Source organism: Homo sapiens, chromosome 17 (assembly GCF_000001405.40).
Source record: "Homo sapiens chromosome 17, GRCh38.p14 Primary Assembly".
In the NCBI taxonomy this organism is placed as follows: Eukaryota; Metazoa; Chordata; class Mammalia; order Primates; family Hominidae; genus Homo; species Homo sapiens.
The window spans coordinates 9,036,509-9,052,746 of NC_000017.11; the positions used below are offsets into that span (position 1 = coordinate 9,036,509).

Consider the following 16,238-nt stretch of genomic DNA (forward strand, 5'->3'; position numbering starts at 1 on the left):
CCTCAGCCTCTCAGAGTGCTTAGATTACAGGCATGAGTCACCTGCTTGGCCTGCCACTTATCTTTAATCTGCATACTCCCTGACAGGAAAACTAGTAATACTGGGAAGCAAAGGTGACTTTGTACAAGTGTCTTTACTTCTCTGGGCCTCAGTTCTCTCCTGTAAAACGAGGGGTTGGGTCACAAAGGTCATGTAATGATATTCTGTAGGTCTAGTGGAATATACTGCCTTCCTGAGGACTTCTTCAGTCTTCCTTAACGAACTCACCCCATTCCCTGCTCAACCAGAAGCAGCTCTATAACTTGAATGATACATTTTCCAACCCTACCCCTCCACTGGGGTTCCCTCAAAGGACTGCTCAGGCTCTAACTGGAGGACCTCACTTGGGCCTACCCTCCAACCCTACTGACAATTTCCCCACCTCCCACTCTCCAGCTCTTCCACTTGCAGGGGTGGGGACATGGGACTCTCCCTCTTTGCCTTCCAGTGTGTTCGCTAGCTGGTCTTCTCTCTTTAAATCATGAGTGTTCAGGTGTATGAATTTTCACAAAGTGAGCTCACCTCTGTGTCTACCACTAACATGAAGAAATACAGTATTTCCAGAAGGCTCCTCCCAACCCCCCAGGGTAACCACCATTTTGACTTCCAACACAATAGATTTAATTTGCCTATTTTTGAACTTTATGTAATTGAAATCATACTGTATGTTCTCTTCAATATCTGGTTTCTTTTGCTCAGCCTTATTTCCTTGTAAATAGTCTTAAACATAACTTTTCCTATAGTCTTTGTTAGTTTGATGGATGATCTCAACTTCTTGGGGATACTGATCCTCTCGCTTATTTTGTCTGCTGACCTTTGCTCATGGTGAATGATTTCCTTATGTGTTTTGTACTTTCTGACTGTGAGCTTATCTTTATTTGGGATTTCGTGGAAATCCCACTGCTGTTAGTTATGGAAATGCCCCTATCCATATGATTTTGCATTAATTCTGCCAGACATTCTAGAGGTATCACTGGACTAGGACCAAATTTTCCATTAATTAATCATCTTGAAAATTATTATATCAAATGAGGAGTATGTACTTGGCCTCTAAACCTTCCCAGGCCTGGGGTTTATTTTTCTCCCTCACTGAGGACTTTTTCTGCCTTTACCCAGAACTCTAGGTAGAGACAAATTTTTGCTGTCACCTTAGCCCGATGGACAAAGCTTCTTCGTCCCCTTTTGACCCAGGGGGCATTTGGAAGGTCCAGGTTTTTCTGCTACTGCGATTACAGCTGCAGTTTCCTAGCTGGTCTCCCTTCCTTTATCTTTGTCCCTCAGCCTCCCTGGTCTCTTCTTAACACAGCAGCCAGAGGTAACTGCCTGTGTGTTAGTTCCCTGTTCACTCAGAGGAACACCCAGAACACTTACAACGGTTGCAAAGCCCTGTGTGGTCTGGCCCCTGCTTCCTCTCTATTCTCATCTCCTGGCACTTTGCTGCTCACTCAGTCTGTTCCAGCTCCCAGGCCTCCTTGCTGTTAGTGGGTACACAGCTTATAGCCCTGGTACAGCAGCTGAGTCTGGGCTTGAGATAGGCCCAAATATGCAAATAAATGACTCCCTAGGTTCCTTCAAGTCTTTGGTCAAATATCACTTCTGTGAGGCTTACCCGGACTATTCTATTTATACTGCAAACAGCTCCCCTATTTGTGTCTATCGGACTCTCTCTCTCTGTGTCTCTCTCTCTTTCTCTGTCTTCTCCTCTCTTTCTCTCTCTCCACACACACACACACCTGAGATCACCCTTATCCTCCCCTACTAACTCCTTTTCCCCATAACACTCATACCACCTAAGACACTATTTAATTTACTTATTTATTATGTTCTTAATTGTTTTCCCCTCCTCCCATTTGTTCCTTTCTATCACTTGTTGGAATGTTAAGGTACATAAGGTCAGGAATTCTCTTTTATTCACAGGGGGCCTGGCATAAGTAGGTGCTTATTAAATATTTGATAAAGAAAGCAGGGGTCCCATTTGCAACTCCTGGGCTTGCAAGACCTGAGGCCTTATCTCCGGTCTGTGTGTGGGTGCTAAATCCTAAGCTCAAGGCATTAAAGCCTGTTTCCAGGTCTAATAATCAGTCAGTCTTTCCCCTTTCTCTATCCTCCCTGCTGTTCCCTCCCTCCTCCCACACACCTCATGATCACTGGGGTCTCAGGGTTTCTCTTAACACTTTGGCTTTCAGATTTTTCTTTCCTCTAGCACCTGGGGATTTCCTTTTATTTCTTATGAGATCTGCTATTCATTAAATTTTTTTAAACTTACATTTCATCTAGTATTTCTAGATGCTTGCAGTGGTAGGGGTTCTGCATTACCTCAGTCCACCTTGTTGCCAGAACTCGAAGTAATATATTTTAATCTTTCACACATCTGGAATTAATCGTGACATATGGTGTGAGGTAAGGATATCCATTTTTTCATCAAATATTTAGCCAGTTATTCAGTGACAACTATTGAGAAACATCATTTTTTGTCACTGATTTGAGATGCCATATTTATTAAATGCTTAAGTATTATATAAACTTGGATCTGTTCTCTGGATTTTTCCATTTTGTTTCACAAATCTGTTTTCCTGCCACTTTCTATCTGTTTGGATATTTCAGTATCTGGTAGGTTCAGTATTCACTCATTATTCATCTGTTCATTTTCACTTATTCTCATTGCTATTCTTGCTTGCTTGTTTCTTTATATATTTATTTATTGGCTTTAGATGAGTTTGTCAAGTTTCATTACAAATGCCATTAGTAATTTGACAGCAGTGTTGTTAAAATGAACTTGGTGATAGTTGAAAACATTGTAACTGTATCAACATGTCTCTTGTATGTAATGATTTGATTATTTAAATGTACCCAATAGGGCTTTTAGGATATCAGAAAAGTAGGTTTTAAGTCTGGTCAAAATCATGAATTGTACTTATGTGTTTCTCTTTGATTCTTCCAGATGATTTTTTTTTACAGATTTATTGAGATATAATTGTTCAGTAAATTGCACATATATAAAAAGTATAACTTGGTAAGTTTGACTTATGTATACACCTGTGAAACCATCACCACAATCAAGATAAATAACATATCCATCAGCCCAAAATGTTCCTGCTGTCTTGGTAATCCCTCCTGCCCCTTTCCACCATGGTGCCTTCTGTCATTGTATATCTGTTTGCCTTTTCTAGAGTTTTGTGTAAATGGAATCATACGGTACGTGTGGTCTGGTTTCTTTCACCTTCCATGCTTAGTTGGATTATTTATTCATCCATCATGTTAAGTGCATTAATAGTTCAATCCTTTTTATTTCTGGGGGGGTATTCATTGTATTGCTATACCACAATTTTTCCATTCACCTGCTGATGGGCATTTAGCTTGTTTCTAGTTTTTGGCTATTACAGGTAAAGCAGCTATGAACATTCTTTTAGAAGTCTTTGCATGGACATACACTTTCATCTCTCTTGGGCAAATACCTAAGAGTGGATTGGCTGGATGATACAGTAGGTGTAGGTCTAACTTTTAATAAACTGTCAAACTATTTTCCAAAATGGTAGTACCACTTTACATCTATATCTGCAGTGTATGAGAGTTCTAGTTTCTCCAGTCCATTTCCTCATCAGCATTTGATATGGCCAATCTTTTAGAAATTTTAGCCATTCCAATAGATGTGTGGTAGATACCCTTCCAATTTTAAGTTTTACAATTTGGAAGTATAGAACATCTACATTTATTTATGTCTTCTTTTATGCTATTCAGTAAGGTTCATAAATTTCTTTATATTAGCATCACACATTTTTTCAGAAGAGTTTACTTCTATGTATTTATAATTTTGATTACTATTATGAAAGGGATTTTTTCCTTCTCATTTTATTTTCTAAGTGGGTATTACAATGTATAGAAAAGCTATGAACTATATATACATTTTTATGTATTTTGCAACCTTCAGCTTTACTAAACTCTTTTTAATTCGTTCTCACAGTGTTTCAGTTTCTCTGGACTTCAACTATATATATGAATATTTTAGCCCTTCTTTTCCAATACTTGTACTATTTATTTTTCTTGTCTTACTGCATTGGATAGAATGTCAAAGTAATGGTATATATAATAATGGTAATGTACTCTTGTATTACTACTGATTTAAGTGAGCACATTTCTAGAGTTTCATTGTTAAATATGTTGTTTGTTGCTAGTTTCATATGGATGTTCTTTATTGTACTCAATGGAGAGACCTCTATTCCTGACTTACTGGGAGGGTTGCTCTTTCTTACTTTTTTTTTTGTTTGTTTTTTTGTTGGAGAGATAAGGTCTTGATTGGTTGCCCAGGCTGGAGTGCAGTAGCATGATCAATCATAGCTCATTGCAGCCTCAACCTCCTGGGCTAAAGCAATCCTCCTACCTCACACTCTTGAGTAGCTGAGACTATGGGTGTGCACCATGCCCAGCTAATTTTTTAAAGAAATTTTTGTAGAGATGAGGTCTTGCTGTGTTGCCCAAGCTGATCTTAAACTCCTGGGTTCAAGTGATCCTCCTGCCTGAGACTCCCAAACTGTGCTCTTTTTTTAAAAAATATTCAAGAATATGTAGAATGTTAATCCTTTAGATATTAATCAAAATGATCATATCATTTTTCTGCTTTGACTATTAATGTAATGCATTTCTTTAATTGATTTCTGAGGTATAATTCACATGTCATACAATTCACCCATGGAAAGTGGTTTTTAGTATGTTCGTCGATTGGTACAACCATAACTGAAACTAATCCTATAACATTTTTGTCATCCCCAAAAGGAGCTTTCTACGAATTAGCAGTCACTTTCCATCCTTCACCCTGATCTGCACCCACACCCTAAGTAGGCTTTTGATCTTTACAGATTTGCCTATTCTGGACATTTCATATAAATAGAATCACGTAACATATGGCCTTTTGTGACTGACGTCTTTCAATTAGCATAATGTTTTCATGGTTCATCCATGTTATAGCAGTACTTCATTTCCTTTTAATGGCTGAATTCCATTATGTAAACATATCAAATTTTGATTCATTCATCAGTTGATGGACATTTGAGTTGTGTCCATTTTTTGGCTCTTATGAATAATGCTGCTATGAGCATTGGTTTACAGGTTTTTGTGTGGACATCTGCTTTCTCTGGGGTATCTACCTAGCAGTGGAATTGTTGGGTTATAAGACAACTATCTCATCCAGGTGCGGTGGCTCATGCCTGTAATCTCAGCACTTTGGGAGGCGGAGGCGGGTGGATCACTGGAGGTCAGGAGTTCGAGACCAGCCTGGCCAACGTGGTGAAACTTCGTCTCTACTAAAAATATAAAAATTAGCCAGGTGTGGTGGTACACATCTGTAGTCCCAGCCACTCGGGAGGCTGAGGCATGAGAATTGCTTGAATCCGGGAGGTGGAGGTTGCTGTGAGCTGAGATTGGGCCATTGCACTCCAGCCTGGGCGACAGAGTGGGACTCTGTCAAAAAGAAAAAAAAAAAAAAGACAACTAACTGTGTTTAACTTTTTGAGGAATGCCAGATTGGTTTTCAGGCAGTTATACTGTTCCTAGGACCCTAGAACCCACCAGCAACATATGGGGATCCTAGTTTCTCCATACCCTTGAAAACACTTACTATCTATCATTTTGATTATAGCCATTCTGGTGGGTGTGAAGGGGTATCTTGTTGTGCTTGTGTGATTTCCTAAGTTTGAAATATTCCAGCATTCTTGGAATGTATCTATTTGGTGATGTGTTATTCTTTACTAACATTTTATTTTAGATTTTTATGCCTATATTCAAAAGTGAGATTTGAGCTGGGTGTGATGGCGCGCCTCTCTAGTCTCAGTTCTCGAGAGGCTGAGGCAGGAAGATTGCACGAGCGAGGGGTTTGAGGCTATAATGCGCTATGACTGCACCTGTGAATAGCCACTGTACTCCACAACATAGTGAGACTCTGTCCCTTAAAAAAAAAAAAACTGTGAGGCTGGCGCGGTGGCTCACGCCTGTAATCCCACCACTTTGGGAGGCCGAGGCGGGCAGATCATGAGGTCAGGAATTCAAGACCAGCCTGACCAACATGGTGAAACCCCGTCTCCACTAAAAATACAAAAATTAGCTGGGTGTGGTGGCGTGCTCCTGCAGTCCCAGCTACTCAGGAGGCTGAGGCAGAAGAATCACTTGAACCCAGGAGGCAGAGGTTGCAGTGAGCCGAGATTGCGCCACTGCACTCCAGACTGGGCGATAGTGCGAGACTCCATCTCAAAAAAAAAAAAAAAGTGAGATTTGTCTGACCTTTTGTCACTTTATATTGCCTTTTGTATCAAGGCTGTTTTAACCTTATAAAATGAAGTGGGAAGTTTCCATTCTATTTTATGCTCTGGAATAGTTTAAGTAACATGAGAAATAGCTGGTCCTTGAAGGTTTGTTAGAATTAGCCCATCTGAGCCCTGTGTCATTTTTGAAAGTAGTTATTTGACAACCATTTCAATTTCTTCCATACTTATGTGTTTATTCAGAAATTTTTCAACTGCTTTTTGAGTCAAATCTGGTAATTTGTTTTTTTTTAAAAATCATTTACCCAGATTTTCATTTTTCAAGCATAGGATTCTATATAATAATCACTAAAATATTTTTTAATGTTCATATATGGCTATATCACCTTTCTAATTGCTAATAGCAAACATTTTTTCTCACTCTCTCTTTGCCTAGGTTTGTTTGCTTTTTGTACATTTGTGAAAGTGATAATAATAACATTTGATCATATTTAATGAACACTCACTGTGTCCTAGACCCTATGCTAAATATTTTGGATGCACTTTCTAATTTAAAAAATCTATAACACTGTGAATTGAGCAAAATTATTCCCATTTTACATATAGTTGAGTAGTTAAGAAATTTAGCTTGCCCAGAGTCACAGAGCTGCAAAACCCAGGGCCGGAATTAAAAAGGATCTGTCAGTTTTCAAAGCGGGTTCTTTTATCCACTATTCCAGACTGCTGCTTATTTTTAAATGCTTTTTTATCATCTTCTAATTGTCTCTCTAATCTCTCTCTTTTTTTTTTTTGGTTGAGATGGAGTTTCCCTCTTGTTGCCCAGGCTGGAATGCAATGGCGCGATCTTGGCTCACCACAACCTCCACCTCCCGGGTTCAAGCAATTCTTTCTGCTGCCTCAGCCTCCTGAGTAGCTGGGATTACAGGCATGTGTCACCACGCCTGGCTAATTTTGTGTTTTTAGTAGAGACGGGGTTTCACCATGTTGGTCAGGCTGGTCTCAAACTCCGGACCTCAGGTGATCCACCCGCCTCGGCTTCTGAAAGTGCTGGGATTACAGGCGTGAACCACTGCACCTGGCATCATCTTGTAATTCTCTTAATTTTTTTATCTTTATTAATTTCTTACCTAGGCTTCTCTGTGGTTATCCTAATTTTTTGAGTTGAATGCTCAGTTCAACTAACATTATTTTCTTATTCCTGTTGAGCATTAAAACTAAGTTAATGACTTTTCCTCTCTAGAGTAGCGTTGACCACTTCCCATAGGTTTTGATTTGTGCTGCTCTCATTGTCACTGTTTTTACAATGACTGTGTCATTGTAGTTTTGATATTCCTTTTGTTCCTGGAGTTATTTATGAATTGGGTTTTCATCTCCAGGAGGTTATATCCTTTAAAATATTTTTTTAAATGTCCAATTTTTTTTGCTGTTTCCGGTACTTTTTTTTTTTCCTTTTTGGGGCGGAGTCTCACTCTGCGGCCCAGGCTGGAGTGCAATGGCGCGATCTCGGCTCACTGCAACCTCCGCCTCCCAAGTTCAAGCTATTCTCCTGCCTCAGCCTCCCAAATAGCTGGGACTACAGGTGTGTGCCACCATGCCTGGCTAGTTTTTGTATTTTTAGTAGAGACGGGGTTTCACCGTGTTGGCCAGGCTGGTCTCGAACTCCTGACCTCAGGTGATCCCACCTGCCTCAGCCTCCCAAAGTGCAGGCATTATAGACATGAGCCACCACACCCCAGCCTCTGGCATGTTTTTTAGTTTGGTTTTTGTTTGTTTTTTAGAATAATCTCATGTGTATGTAAGATCACCTCTTGTCAGTGTTCCGCAGGAATTGAAGAGGAATCCTGTTTGTAGGGCACAATGTTTATATTTATTGACTCAATCTAATTGGGATTTTATTCTCCAGATACTCTATATTCTTGTTTTCCTTTTTGCCTGCTTGGGGCAAAAAAAAATATTCATGGAAGTCTTTAACATGTAACTCGATCTTCCACAGATTAAGTGACAAAGTCATTCAACTTCTTAAATATTAACATGTGCAAAAGTACATAAGGCAAATTAGCACAGAGTAAAAGCGGGGGGTCACAAAACAGTATGCGAAAAGTAGAATTCAGAGCAGAGTACATTATACACAAAGCTAGGTTAATTTGTACAGATACAGGAAAAAAATGCACTGTCATTAACTTGAATGGATTATGACCCCGGCCTCGGACTCCTCCTTGGTACACAGGGGAAGTTGGCCTCTCAGTTCTTTCCCGTGCTCACACTCTAGGATGGTGGTTTTGGGGTTCACTACTAAGTGCTGCCAGGGATGGAATTAACTGGGAATAGGATTAGAAGCAAAGAAGAGGCCAGAATGATTCCTAGCCTGAAGCTGGAGCAGTTTGAGCCGACAGCTGGGGCTGAGTTTATTGCTTTGGCTCACTCCCGTCTGTACATGAGCATCTGCCTCATTGCCTTTTGGCCTGGCAAAGGGGATTTGCTGAAATAGAAATCAGTCTGCAAGGAAAGGATGGTGAGGCCACAGCGACTCACTGACATGGGGTGCCACCTCCCGTCATGAAATATGACCCCAAATGGCTTGGTTTGGCTGTGGGATATGCCAACACCACCCCCGGGAGCTCTCAGCTCTGTGGAAGAGCATTTCCATAGGCAGCTTCCTACAGAAACGGGCAGGCGACCCAGCTTCACGCCTGCCTCCATTTCTCCTTATCCTTCTGCCAAGGGGTGATTAATTCATGGAAGAAAGATGGGATGCTAAAGAGAGGAGTGTGTTTCACAGAATACCAGAACCATGAGAAAGGCTGAAAATTAATGAGCTAAGTATCTAATTTAAGAAGTTAGAAAAAAATTAATAGAATAAGCCAGAAAAGGAGATGGGGGCAGGGAAGGAGAGATAAAAATAAGAGCAGAAGTCAATGAGCCAGAAAACAAATATTCAGCAGAGAAGATCAACCCAAGCCAAAAGTTGATTGTTTGGAAGGACTAATAAAATAAACAAATATCTGGAAAGATTGGTCAAGAAAAAGAGGAGGCACAAATGAATAACATTAGGAATGAAAAAGAGACATAACTAGAGATCCATCAGAGACTTAAAAAAAGTAAGGTAATGTGATAAACAACTGTATGCTACTAAATTTTCTAAGTGTCATTTCCGTATCATCATTAGCAAACCCCTGGAGAATTTCAACAGAGTGGTCCATAGACCACTTGAATCAAATTCTTAGGTGGAATCAAAGAAAAAACATAAATTGGACTTTATCAAAATTTAAAACTTGTGCTTCAAAGATACAATCAAGAAAATGAAAAGACAACCCATGGGATGGGGGAAAATATTTGTAAATCACGTGTGATGAAGGTGTAGAATGTGTAAGGAATATGTAATAAATCTTAGAACTCAACAACAAAAGACAACCCAGTTTAGAAACGGGCAAAGAACTTCAGTGGATGTTTTTCCACAGAAGATACACAAATGGCCAGTAAGCACATTAAAAGATGCACTAAATCATTAGCCATCAGGGAACTATAAATCAAAACCACAATGAGATACCACTTTACATTCACTAGGATGGCTATACTTGAAAAGAAAGGTAATAACAAGTGTTGGTAAGGCCATGGAGAAATTGAAACCCTCATGTACTGCTGGTGGGAATGTAAAATGATATGGCTACTTTTGAAAATAATCCCTTCCGAAACCCCCCAAATAAGAGTCCAGGCATGGTGGCTCATGCCTACGATCCCGGTACTTCGGGAGGCCAAGGTGGAAGGATTGCTTGAGCCCAGGAGTTCAAGACCAGCCTGGGCAACATGGCGAAACCCTGTCTCTACCAAAAAGATGAAAATTAGCTGGGCACGGTGGTATGTGCTTGTAGTTTCAGCTACTAGAGAGGCTCAGGCAGGAGGATCGCTTGAGCCCAGGAGGTCGAGTTACAGTAAGCTGAGATTGTGCTACTGCACTCCAGCCTGGTTGGCAGAGAAAGACCCTGTCTCCAAAAAAATAAATAAATAAAAAAGAGAAAAAACAAAAGAAAATAATCCCTCTGAAATGAGTTGTGATACGATCCAGCAATTCCATTCCTAGATACACGAACACACCTTACAGATATTATAGGTTCAGTTCCAGACCACTGCAATAAAGGGAGTATCTCAATAAAGCAAGTCATACAAATTTTTTGGTCTCCCAGTGCATATAAAAGTTATGTTTACGCTATACTGTAGTCTGTTAAGTGTACAGTAGCATTATATCTGAAACATATACATATCTTAATTTTAAAATACTTTATTGCTAAAAAATGCTAACGATCACCTGAGCCTTCAGCAAGTCATAATCTTGTCACTGTTGGAGGGCTTTTCCTCGCTGTTGATGGCTACTGACTAATCAGGGTGGTGGTTGCTAAAGGCTGGGTGGTAATTTCTTAAAGTAAGACAGCAGTGCAGTTTGCCACATCAACTCACTCTTCCTTTCATGAAAGATTTTGCTGTAGCTGCATAATAGTATTTTACCCACAGTAGAACTTTTTTCCTAATTGGAGTCGATCCTCTCAAACCCTGCTGCTGCTATATCAAATAAGTTGATGGAATATTCTAAAACCTTTGTTGTCATTTCAACAATGCTCATAGCATCTTCACCAGGAGTAGAGTCCATCTCAAGAAACCACTTTCTTTGTCATCCATAAGAAGCGACTCGTCATCTGTTCAGGTTTTATCATGAGATTGGAGTGATTCAGTCACATCTTCAGGCGCCACTTCTATTTCTAGTTCTTTTGCTGTTTTTACCACATCTGTAATTATTTCCCCCACTGAAGTTTTGAACTCCTTAATGTTATTTATGAGGGTTGAAATTACTTCCAAACTCCTGTTAATGTTGATATTTTGACCTCCTCTCATGAATCACGAATTTTCTTTTTTTTTTTTTTGAGATGGAGTTTCACTCTTGTTGCCCAGACTGGAGTGCAATGGCGCGATCTCGGCTCACTGCATCCTCTGCCTCCTGGGTTCAAGGGATTCTCCTGCCTGGGCCTCCCAAGTAGCTGGGATTACAGGCGACTGCCACCACGCCTGGCTAATTTTTTGTATTTTTAGTAGAGGAGGGGTTTCACTATATTGGCCAGGATGGTCTTGAACTCCTGACCTCAGGTGATCCACCCGCCTCGGCCTCCCAAAGTGCTGGGATTACAGGCATCAGCCACTGTGCTCGGCTGAATCACGAGTTTTCTTAATGGCATCTAGAATGGTGAATCCTTTTCAGAAGGTTTTCAATTTACTTTGCCAAGATTCATCAGAGGAATCACCATCTGTGCAGCTATAGCCTTACAAAATGTGTTTCTTAAATAAAGCCAATAAAAACAATAAAAACAAATAAAGGCTTGAAAGTAGAAATTACTCCTTGGTCCATGGGCTGCAGAATGGATGTTGTGTTAGCAGGCATGAAAACAACATTCATCTCCTTGGACGTCTCCATCAGAGCTCTTGGGTGATGAGATGCATTGTCAATGAGCAGTAATATTTTGAAAGGAATCTTTTTTTTTTTTTTCTTTCTGAGCAGTAGGTCTCAACAGTGGGCTTAAAATATTAAGTACACCATGCTGTAAACAGATTTGCTGTCCTCCAGGCTTTGTTGTTCCATTTATAGGGCACAGGCAGAGTGGTTTTAGCCAAATTTTTAAGGGCCCTAGGATTTTCAGAATAGTAAATGAGCATTGGCTTTAACTTAAACTCACCTGCTGTATTAGCCCCTACATAATCAGCCTGTCCTTTGAAGCTAGGCATTGACTTCTCCTCTGTATCTATGAAATGGCGTCTTCGTCCAATAGAAAGCTGTTTTGTCTACACTGAAAATCTGTTGTGTAGTGTAGCCACTTTTTTTTTTTCTTTTTTTTGAGACAGAGTCTTGCTCTGTCACCCAGGCTGGAGTGCAGTGGCGCAATCTTGGCTCATTGTAACTTCTGTCTCCCGGGTTCAAGCAATTCTCCTGCCTCAGCCTTCCAAGTAGCTGAGATTGTGGGTGCCCACCACCGCACCCAGCTGATTTTGTATTTTTAGTAGAGATGGGGTTTCACCATGTTGTTCAGGCCGGTCTCAAACTCCTGACCTCAGGTGATCCATCTGCCTTGGCCTCCCAAAGTGTTGGGATTACAGGCATGAGCCACCGCGCCCGGCGGAAAATGCTTCTTAAAATAAGCATTTCTTAGCCTTTTCCTGGCTTAATGAAGTAAAATCTCTGGGATGGAGCCTAGAAATCTGCACTTTGGTGAATGCATTAGATGAAACAAGTGTACACAGAGTTTTAAGAATCACTGTCCACTGATTTCAGTAGAATTCCAAATAATAATTGTAAAAAATGAAATGAAAGAAAGAATGGTGAAAATAGAAAATCACCATTTGACAAAAAGTTCGTGGTAATAGTTGGAGGCAAGAATCACAAGGTCTGCTAAAGTTAGGGGGTAAAAATATGATGAAAAATAGAATATTTGCATAATGCTAGTTAGAGTACCTTCCCGCAACCACAGAAGGAAAAAGAATAACTTACAGTGAAGAAACCTAAAGATGCCACCTGAACCAACTGATCAGAATTAACATCACCAGTAATGGGCCACCTGAACCAACTGATCAGAATTAACATCACCAGTAATGGGCCACCTGAACCAACTGTTCAGAATTAACATCACCAGTAATGGACATAGTGACATCATGTGCCACCTGATATGTGATATGATGGCCCAGGAAGAATACTTTGCTTCTGCAGGATTCTTGCTAACCTGAATTTAATTTTGAGGAAATACGAGATGATCCCAAATGAGAGACATTCTAGAAAATAACTGGCCATTACTCTTTAGGACTATGAAGGTCATTAAAGACAAAAAGAGACTGAGGAATTGTCATAGACTGGAGGAGACTAAGGAGACGTGAGACCAAAAGGCAGTGTAAGATTCTGAATTGGATCTAGACAAAGACATGTGCGGGACAGTTGGCAAGATTTGAATAAGGTTTGTAGATTAGGTAATAGTATTGCACCCATTTCGATTTTCGGGTTTTGATCATTGTAGGATGGGTATGTAAGAGAGTAATATCTGGGGGAAACTGAATGAAGAGTTCACAGAAATTTGTTGTACCATTCTGCAACTTTTTATAAGCCTAAAATTATTTCATATTAAAAAATAATAAATGTCGGCCAGGCGCAGTGGCTCACGCCTGTAATCCCAGCACTTTGGGAGGCCTAGGCGGGTGGATCATGAGGTCAGGAGATTGAGACCATCCTGGCTAACATGGTGAAACCCCGTCTCTACTAAAAATACAAACAAATTAGCCAGGTGTGGTGGTGGACGCCTGTAGTCCCAGCTACTCGGGAGGCTGAGGCAGGAGAATGGCATGAACCTGGGAGGCAGAGCTTGCAGTGAGCTGAGATTGCGCCACTGCACTCCAGCCTGGGCGACAGAGTGAGACTCTGTCTCAAAAAAATAAAAAAAAATAAAAATAAAATAAAAATAAATAATAACAATAAATGTCACTGCCCTTGAGCATCGTGAGTCCTGCTTTGAAAGCTATTGGTGTAGAAGGAACTTGGGCTTTGGAATCATACAAACCCTAGCTGGGGCCAGGCGTGGTGGCTCACACCTGTAATCCCAGCACTATGGGAGGCTGAAGTGGGCGGATCACTTGAGGCCAGGAGTTTGAGACCAGCCTGGCCAACAGGACGAAACCCCATCTCTACTAAAAATACAAAAATTAGCCAGGCATGGCGGTGCACGCCTGTAATCCCAGCCACTCGGGAGGCTGAGACAGAGAATCGCTTGAACCTGGGAGGCAGAGGCTGCAGTGAGCTGAGATTGCGCCACTGCACTCCAGCCTGGGCGACAGAGCGAGACTCCATCTCAAAAAAAAAAAAAAAAAAAAAAAACCCTAGCTGGACTCCCAGCTCTGTCATGTACCAGCTAAATCCAGAGCCTCTCAGCCTCGTTTTCATCTGTGAAACGGGGATGACCATGTCTATGTCCTAGGATCACTGGAAGGGTAAATGAAATGATGTATGTGAGATGCTAAGTGCAGTGCCTGCCTTACCAGGTGCTCAGGAAATGCTGGCCCTCCCCTGTGGTTCAAGCACCCAGAGATATTTTCTCCATGAGTCAGCTCCCAGTCTCCCTCTTGCCCTGGAGCAAAAGAACCAATCCTGTCCACTAGGCTGTTTCAGCTTGGCAAGGAGCCATCGAAGCCCCCTGTCCTGTTAGCTGAGAAAAGGTGTGTCCTGGGAGAGAGAGGATTTTGACCCAGGTTGAGATGGGAGGTGGCTCTGGCAGGCAGAGGACACCCTGGGGACCCTCGGGAAGGCAGCCTGGCCTGGGAGCTTTCTCACAGGCTCTCCTTGGCAGGCCACTTAAAGTTACACCGACTTCAAACAAAAAGGGTTTGCAGACACAAAAGAAGGCTCAACCTGGCCAGTGCCAGGCCTGGCTTGGTATTTGAGTTCAGAAATCCAACTCCTTGGAGCTCGCAGACAGGCCCCACCATCCCGGTAAACACTCCAGGAATGCCAAGAACCTGCCTTAGAGCTCCCCTCCCGGGATTGCTTCTGTTGCTGACCCTGGGTCCGGATTCGTTAGAGGTAAATAAGAGCCAGTGCTCCCAGAGCGGGGACTGTGCAACAGGCCAAGGTGGGGCTCCTTGTACCTGTCTTCAATTCCAACCCCTCTCCACTTTGCAGTATGTGGGTGTATGTGCCGGGCTAGTTTTCTTAATGGATTATTTTTCCTCCAGCTTTATTGAGGTATAATTGACAAAAATTGTATGTATTTACAATATGTAACATGAAGTTTTGCTATACATATGCATTGTGAAATCATGACCACAATCAAGCTAATTAATATAGCCATCACCTCACGTAATTATTTTTTTTTGAGTGAGAACATTTAAGGTCTACTCCCAGCAATTTTGAAGTATACAGTACATTCTTGTTAGTTATAGTCACCAGACTGTACAATAGATCTTTCTAACTTGTTCATCCTGTCTAACTGAGAGGTGATTTTGTACCCTTTGACCAGTGTCTATCCATCCCCCGCTTAATTGATTATTTTAAAGTAAAGCAAAACGGGTAGTTTTTTCATCTATGTTTTTGTATAGGCCCCTCCATGTTCTGCCAGTTGAGTCTCCCATGTGACCAAAGACACGTTTGGGTTTTTTTTTTTTGTATTTTGTGTTTTGACGCGGAGTTTCGCTCTTGCTGCCTAGGCTGGTATGCAATGATGCGATCTCAGCTCACTGCAACCTCTGCCTTCTGGGTTCAAGCGATTCTCCTGCCTCAGACTCTCAAGTTGCTGGGATTACAGGCACGCGCCACCATGCCTGGCTAATTTTGTATTTTTAGTAGAGATGGGGTTCTCCATGTTGGTCAGGCTGGTCCCGAACTTCTGACCTCAGGTGATCTGCCTGCCCCGGCCTCCCAAAGTGCTGGGATTACAGGCATGAGCCACCACTCCCGGCCCCAAAGGCACATTTGTAAGAGGGTGAGCCTGAGTTAAGGGCATAATCATTGAACATTGGAATGATTGAGGGCATGTTATATGTGCTTTCCCTATGACCCCGGCAGGTCCACCTCTCAGTACCCACCCTAGAGAAACACATATGTGCACAAAAAGGCATGTGCAAGTGTGTTGGTCTCAGACTTGTTGGTAATAGGTACATCAATCGAACATCAATAAGTCTGGGACAAACACACTTGCACATATATATGAGAGAGAAGGAGAGAAAAACCTTAACATCTACCAATAAGGAAATGGTTATACACCAAATCAATGTATTCATGCTTTAGAATATAAGGCTGCAGGTAAAAATATAAGTCTAGAGCTGGGTTTAGTGGTGCATATCAGTAGTCCCAGCTATGCAGGAGCCTGAGGTAGGAAGATAGCTTGAGCCCAGGAGTTCAAGGCCAGCCTGGGCAACATAGCAAGACCCTGTCTC

At 41.5% G+C, this 16,238-nt stretch overlaps 1 protein-coding gene across 3 annotated transcripts in view, besides 5 other annotated features; it reads left to right on the forward strand.

The window, feature by feature from the left end:
• Positions 1-16,238, forward strand: part of NTN1 (netrin 1) — a 240,914-nt gene that overhangs the window by 33,422 nt on the left and 191,254 nt on the right. The gene's annotated exons all lie outside the window — the stretch shown is intronic.
• Positions 14,208-14,865: an enhancer, noted in NCBI's record as "H3K27ac-H3K4me1 hESC enhancer chr17:8954033-8954690 (GRCh37/hg19 assembly coordinates)". NCBI's record gives its function as "activates a minimal SCP1, AML or CMV promoter by ChIP-STARR-seq in primed H9 embryonic stem cells {active_cell/tissue: H9 hESC(primed)}" and the evidence as "EXISTENCE:reporter gene assay evidence [ECO:0000049][PMID:30033119]".
• Positions 14,208-15,525: a biological region, named in NCBI's record as "H3K27ac-H3K4me1 hESC enhancers GRCh37_chr17:8954033-8954690 and GRCh37_chr17:8954691-8955350".
• Positions 14,644-14,938: a silencer, noted in NCBI's record as "tiled region #1005; HepG2 Repressive non-DNase unmatched - State 22:ReprW, and K562 Repressive non-DNase unmatched - State 24:Quies". NCBI's record gives its function as "represses a minimal TATA promoter and a strong SV40 promoter by Sharpr-MPRA in HepG2 and K562 cells {active_cell/tissue: HepG2 | K562}" and the evidence as "EXISTENCE:reporter gene assay evidence [ECO:0000049][PMID:27701403]".
• Positions 14,866-15,525: an enhancer, noted in NCBI's record as "H3K27ac-H3K4me1 hESC enhancer chr17:8954691-8955350 (GRCh37/hg19 assembly coordinates)". NCBI's record gives its function as "activates a minimal SCP1, AML or CMV promoter by ChIP-STARR-seq in naive H9 embryonic stem cells {active_cell/tissue: H9 hESC(naive)}" and the evidence as "EXISTENCE:reporter gene assay evidence [ECO:0000049][PMID:30033119]".
• Positions 15,526-16,183: an enhancer, noted in NCBI's record as "H3K27ac-H3K4me1 hESC enhancer chr17:8955351-8956008 (GRCh37/hg19 assembly coordinates)". NCBI's record gives its function as "activates a minimal SCP1, AML or CMV promoter by ChIP-STARR-seq in naive H9 embryonic stem cells {active_cell/tissue: H9 hESC(naive)}" and the evidence as "EXISTENCE:reporter gene assay evidence [ECO:0000049][PMID:30033119]".